Below are 6728 nucleotides of genomic sequence, written 5' to 3' on the forward strand. Positions count from 1 at the left end.
GTGCGGAGGTGACTGGGTGTTTTAAAGGGAGAACGTGGGAGGTGGGCAAGTAGGGATCAAGTAGAGTCAGAGAAGTTGAAAGTTACAAAGGTTTGGTCAGTGTTAATGGATTAGGCCAGCTGTGTCTGCTTGCTAGCTGGCAATTATTGAAGTCAAGAATCAAATTCTCCCACAAAGGCTGGAAGACAAGAGCCCTACCCTTTCTTATGAATACATTTCAAAGGAATGGCTTTCAGGTTCTTCAGAAAGACACTTCTGAGTTATAGGAGATGCACGTAAACCTCAAAGTGGTAGATAAAGAATTTATGATTCTAAGTCCTTTTTAGTAAATGCTCTAAGAAAAGGATATCAGGGGCCTATCGTCAGGTGTTGGCTAGAACAAACAGCAAATTCTCTTGGTATCATTGAGCTTTCTCAGGCAGAGATTTAACTTGGGAGGAGGGAGACCAGGGTCATCCTAGGGACACAGCCTTATGCTGCAAGAAACCATGCTAAAGTTTGCTCATCTCTTAGAGCAGAAGTTTGGACAGACTTTTTATGTGCTGAGTTCTTCAGTTTCATAACGTACACCTGGATTTCTGGCCCTAGCTCACAGAAATTGTGAGATACTAAAAGTTGGCTGATAATGCATTATGTAGTAATAAATAACTAATGTAGGTTTCGCTTCCAGTAAGTAGCAGTAACAAACCCCTAACATATGGAAGTGGCTTTGGAACTGAACAATGAGCTTTGAAGAAATTGTTTGCAAAAAGTTGAAGTAGCTAGGACATGCTGTAGATTTTAGTCTCAAAGAACATGCTGATGAGGGCTTAATGGACAGTGACAACTACCTTATTGAAATGATAGCAAAGGGGATCCTTGTAATGCGGTGGTATAAATTTTACATGAAGTATAGTAAACTAGGAATGTGCCTAATGAATTGGGTCATCTAATATTTTAAAACAAATTATTGGCCAGGCACGGTGGCTCACACCTGTAATCCCAGCACTTTGGGAGGCCGAGGTGGGCCGATCAGAAGGTCAAGAGATCAAGACCATCCTGGCCAACATGGGGAAACCCCATCTCTGCTAAAATACAAAAATTAGCTGGGCTAGGCAGCAGATGCCTGTAATCCCAGCTACTGGGGAGGCTGAGGCAGGAGAATTGCTTGAACCCGGGAGGTGGAGGCTGCAGTGAGCTAATGCTACTGCACTCCAACCTGGGTGACAGAGTGAGACTCTGTCTCAAAAAAAAAAAAGAGAAAAATTTCTTGAAGATGTTACCTGACTTTTCACTTTGTAGAATAAAATGTGAGAAAAGACAGATAAATCAGAGGAAAAGCTACTAAATAAAAGAGAGTTAAACTTGAAAGTTTTGAAAATCTTCTTCATATACTATATTATAGCATTCATATTGTTAAAGCAAACTAAAAATAGCCTGAGAAGGACTCTATACTTCTATATTTGAATCTTTGTGGTCAAACTGTAATATAACTTAATATAAGTAGACAAGACTGAAAACCTAACTTAGGAGTATGCACCTGTAACAATAGCTGAGTCTTGGCCAATCTCAGTTGCCATACTTCAACCACTTATACAATGCTGAGTGTTCAAACTGTGTTCAAATAAGGCAAAGGCCAACCTGTAACCAATCCAGCTGTTTCAGTACCTTACTTCCAATTTCTGTATGTCCTTTCCCTTTTTTGTCTATAAATTTGTTCTGGCCACAAGGTACCACTGGAGTCTCTCTGAATCTGCTGTGATTCTGGGGACTGCCTGATTCATGAATCATTCATCGCTCAATTAAACTCATTTAAATTTAATTCAGCTGAAGTTTTTCCTTTATCAATATATTATCATATAGCCTCTTCAGAAGCTGTCTGGTAATAAAGTCAAGACATGATTTCCAAGCAAAGATAAAATCCAGAGCCCTGCAAGAAAAACATGGTCTAAAAATAAAGCCAAAACCAGAAATCTTCCTAAGATTTTAAAGGTATAAGGTATATATCATAGACCCTGTCAATTCAACATGAGGGCTTTTATGATAAGGGCATTCTATCTCAGAAGAAGGCAAAGGTAGGAAGAAAAGACCTGTAGTTGAGGTTTTTGTCTAATGGAGTATTTCCCAAGAAGGCTCACAGAAGACACACACATTGTTGGAAGAATTAGATATTCAGAAATATCACTAGCATTTACTGAGGAAGACAGAAACAGCACAGACTGAAAGAGTCCTTTGGACCTTCTGAATAACACTGGCAGAAATCAGGCAGAAAGACCTGCTCAGCAGCAAACACATGCAAAAGGAAGCATGGAGAAGGTTGGATAACTCAGACGGCATAATCATGAATTCAAAGGGTAACACAAAAGCAATGGAAAATTATTCCAGGGACTTACGTCCTATTCAAAAACTTCCAGCATTTGCCTAACTGGATACCAGGATTGACATGAGTCAGTGATTCCTTTGTGCTTTCAGCTGTTCCCATCTGTAAAGTGATTCCTTTGTGTTTCCATCTGTTTCTATTCCAAGACTGTCTGGAATAGTTATCTTCTGTCTATTCCACCCTTTCTATTGAGTGGCTTTAAAGTTACATAATATTCTTTAATTTCAAAGGGAGGGAACAAGTGAAACTTCACTCAAGAAGAAGTAGTTAAGGAACCAGGAAGTCTCATTCACATCTAGACCTAATATAGAAAATGAGATTCTCAGTTTTAAGCAGATACTATAATTAGAGCAGATTTTTTGAAAACCTTGGAAGGGTCTGAATATATTTTGGATATTGGAATGACATGACTCATGGGTGCCAAAGGACAGACTGTGATAGGTGACCTTTAAGTGGCCCTCAACTTTTTCACTTCCTAGTAGTCACAGCCTGTGTAATTACATCCCTTTTATTTTTATTTCGGTATTGAATATTAATATTTTTTCATTTTGGTAGTACATGATCCTGGACCACATTGAAAGATTTGAAAACATGAGGAAAAATATGGAAAGAAAATAAAAAAAATGAAAAGGAAAATTATCCATAAATCTGTCTCGCAAACCAATCACCCTTTAAATGTTTTATGCATTTTCTGCCATTCAACTTCCCATGTGTCATTTTTTCTTCTTAAAAATGACCATATGATATTCACAAAGTGGTCATAAATAAAGCTACAGTAGTTTCACATTTCACCAAATTGTTGCCAATTGTGTGCAATTGCATGTAATTCTGCAGACACCACAATAGTGCATAACATTTTCCTTTCTAAAGTCAAGATTTTCTTTGTTTATACATGTGATATGTGAACTCAAAGTACATTTCTGGTCTAATGTTATAATCTTAATGTAGCGAAGCTCTTGATTGGAATCAATCCATTATTATTAGATGCATAAACTTGCCTTTAATATTACTCAATAAGTAAATTATTGCTAAATTTTAAATATAAAATTCCATGGCTGATATTTTTCAAATATGTTCTGAGTGCTTTCTTTTCAGAGTAATTAGCTGGTAGGCTATAAGCTTCTATTGGTGATGCTACCATTGTTCAAACTATTTGTGGAATATTTCTCTTAAATATCTCTTTAGAAAGCACATATCAGTCTTATAAATGCCTTCAATATTTACATAGTTTTCTAAGTAAAAAATGGATTCAATTTCAAGAAACACACAAAAAGCATTTCAGGACAATTCTGGGTTAAATATTATTTTTCTAGAAAGATATTTTTAATATGCCTTGAAAACCACTCTGAACTGAATTCAAAATGAAGAGAAGGCAAAAAAGTTTTCAACCAGAAGAGCTTCATTGCAATATGGTCTATTCCTCCAAAGTTAATATTGTAAAGTTCAATATTCATTGGAGTCTATAAGCTTGGTATGCTTATAGAAATAATCTGTCACATTGTAATCACATTTAATACATTTCACTAATTGTGTCTTTATGGCTTAATGGAGTTATTTTTTCACCAAAAGTATTCAGCTTAAACAACATTAATGAGATCAAGCTTAATTTCCAACAGACTCAGTGAAATGAAAAATGAGGTTAGCTTGATTAAACGCATTGGCCAAAAGGCCAAACTAAATCCTTTTTAAGGAGAATTCAATGTCTCTGTTCTGTTCTCTTAAGACCTGGCACTCATGTAGTTTGTTTCAAAAAATAAGTTTTTAATTATTATTTCTTTGTATGCGTCTCTGCTGACATTTACCAGCCTTCACTCTGGCTTATCTCTCTGTGACTCGGTTTCCTATTTTGTACAATGGGAATAAGAATAATTACTTTGTGTTATTTTTCATAGCTTTAAATCCATCATAATGCATAGCAGAGTGCCTCACATATAGTAAGCACTTGATAAAATGTAGATATAATCAGTTTTCTATGTAATTATTTATTTAATTACATACCCCTGCCCCATCTTTTCTCTCTCTTATCTTCTTGGAAATATTGTCTTCTAATATCATTTGCAAATATTTTATCTCATGCATGTCCATCTTCATTTCTCATTGTTGGCCTATTCTTTCTTTAAATATGTTTACAAATTCAGTTTATTTACGGTCATACTTCACAGAATGAGAGCCAGTTTGTCTTTTTCAGTTGTTCTTTCATATTTAAAGCCGACTTATTGAACGAGGTGAAGTAAGCTAGCAGAAGTCATGTTTAATTTTTGTTTTACTCACGTGTCTTTTAAGTGTGTTTTGTCAAATCACCTTCTGTCAAATCACCCTGAGATTCCTCAGAATCTCAGGAATATCTCTGAGTTTTCTGCATACCCTCATTTACTAACACGCTGCAGCAGTCACAGATGTTAAAGAGGCATAGTCAAGTCTAATGTTCAAACCTCAGTTGTTCCTGACTTGGGTTTTATGAGACTGCAGTGGGGAGGGAGTGGGCATGATAGGATTATCATGTTTAGCTCATTTTCACCTTTACTTTTTCTCCTTATTTGCTTTTAATCTCCTGGTCCCAAAATGACAAAAGAAAGCACAGGGAAGGAGGAGCAAGGACCCTGTGGTTCCACTAAAGAGGTGTGAAACCTCTTCAGTGTTCTGCTTTATAAAGCTCTTTTGTGAATTTTTGAGGCTGTCTTGGAAAACTTCCACTGTATTTCTTTCTAATACAAGAGATTCATTTTCTTCTGGATGACCTTTCTCACACACTCCCCGGTAGTCTTACTGATATGATGACTCTGATTGGTAGCTGATTTACTTGGGCTGGTGTATTTTCTAGGTAATTCGAATTCAGCTAACTTCCATGGGGTCCACCTGAGTCTTGAGAAGAACTGCCAGAATCTGGAAGGCCAAGCTGCTCTCTGCATCCTCTTATCACTGGTAACCACTTCAAGTCCTTTATGTATAGAATGCTCCAGGGAGGTGGGTCTGGCACTCATCTCTTTATTCCACAATCTCCACTGGACACAGGTCATGTTTTAGAAACATTTCTCTTTAAATCAGTCCTTTACTTGATTGGAGACAGACAGGAAGGAAGTACACACCTGCACTTTCAATAAAAGGAAGAAAATAAAAGTGCTTAACATTCAACCAAGCATTCAAAGTAAATGCCCAGTATTTAATCTTCTTTTAATCAATTTTCTTACTTCCTTTTATATGCCCTCAACTTAGGTGAGGAACTTACGTTCTCCTGACTTCTTTATTTTGATATTGACCAAAATTATAAAGCTAAAGACAAATCTCACTTAATATCCTGAGACCTATTTATGCCCAGAACCGTTAAATATTTAATTCATGACTTTACTTTGAGCACTAGTTCTTACTCCCCTATTTTCAATTAGTTGGTATAGAACATTTTATTATATACCCCCGATACTGATATTAATTAACAAGTTTTTAGTTACAATTCAGTCACTAATTAGTTGAATTATCAGAAGCAAGTTAATCATATAGAGAACTGTTAAAGTTTAAGTGCCCTGAATAGGGTCTAATTTGTATACAGAGCTAAACTTGCTGAGTTCTCATTCTTGCACCATCTATAAGTCGTGTGACCTTAGAAAGAGTATTTAATCCTCTAAAGTACAGTTTCCTTTTGCGTGCATTAAGAATAATAAAGCCACACAAATTATGATAATTATCTCAGAGCATGCGTGTTAATCCTGCAGCTCTGTGTGTGGCGCATGATAAACACTCAGCATATCATTAACATTCCTAGTTTCTCTGTCTACACCCCTCACACATTATTATCTCCCTCATGTGGAATTCCCCATTGTGTGCAGTAACAAAGGAAGCGGTGCTGCCTTCAGAACCACAGGGAGCCAGTTTTTCCAGCTCCCTGCCTGAGCACAGTCATAGAGCAGACATGTATTGTACAGATGGGCAACCAGTTCCTTTTCTGGGACTTTGAAATTTGACAATGAAATGTGAAAGGGTTAGAAGAAAAGTCATTGCAAAGGCAGGGTAGACCACGGAATGGGGACTTGCCTTTGTTCCTATTGTTGAACACCAAGTCATACTTGTGGCCCCTGACCTGTAGTCACTTTGATGGCAGCAGCGGCCCATTTAAAGTGGCCGCTGCCAAGACACCAGCGGCAATGGGGAAGCACGGCCAGGGCTACGACGCTCCATGGAGCAGGCAGGACCCTCGCCCTTCCCAGGTGCCACTGCAGCCACCCTGCCACGGCTCCAGACTCGGGCTCCAGACCTGTGCTCTTGGGGGCCCGGGAAGACCCCTCTACCCCCGCAGGCTCAGAAGGGCCTAATCCCGCTGCCTGGCTTCACCCCGAGGTTGGCGCCGGCTTGGATTTCAGAAGCTCGGCTAGGGCGG

The 6728-nt window shown here is 38.1% G+C and overlaps 1 annotated feature.

Annotated features, from left to right (window-relative positions):
• Nucleotides 4768-5269: an enhancer, noted in NCBI's record as "NANOG hESC enhancer chr5:28402731-28403232 (GRCh37/hg19 assembly coordinates)". NCBI's record gives its function as "activates a minimal SCP1, AML or CMV promoter by ChIP-STARR-seq in primed H9 embryonic stem cells {active_cell/tissue: H9 hESC(primed)}" and the evidence as "EXISTENCE:reporter gene assay evidence [ECO:0000049][PMID:30033119]".

The sequence above is a fragment of the Homo sapiens genome, chromosome 5, assembly GCF_000001405.40.
Source record: "Homo sapiens chromosome 5, GRCh38.p14 Primary Assembly".
NCBI classification, from domain to species: Eukaryota; Metazoa; Chordata; class Mammalia; order Primates; family Hominidae; genus Homo; species Homo sapiens.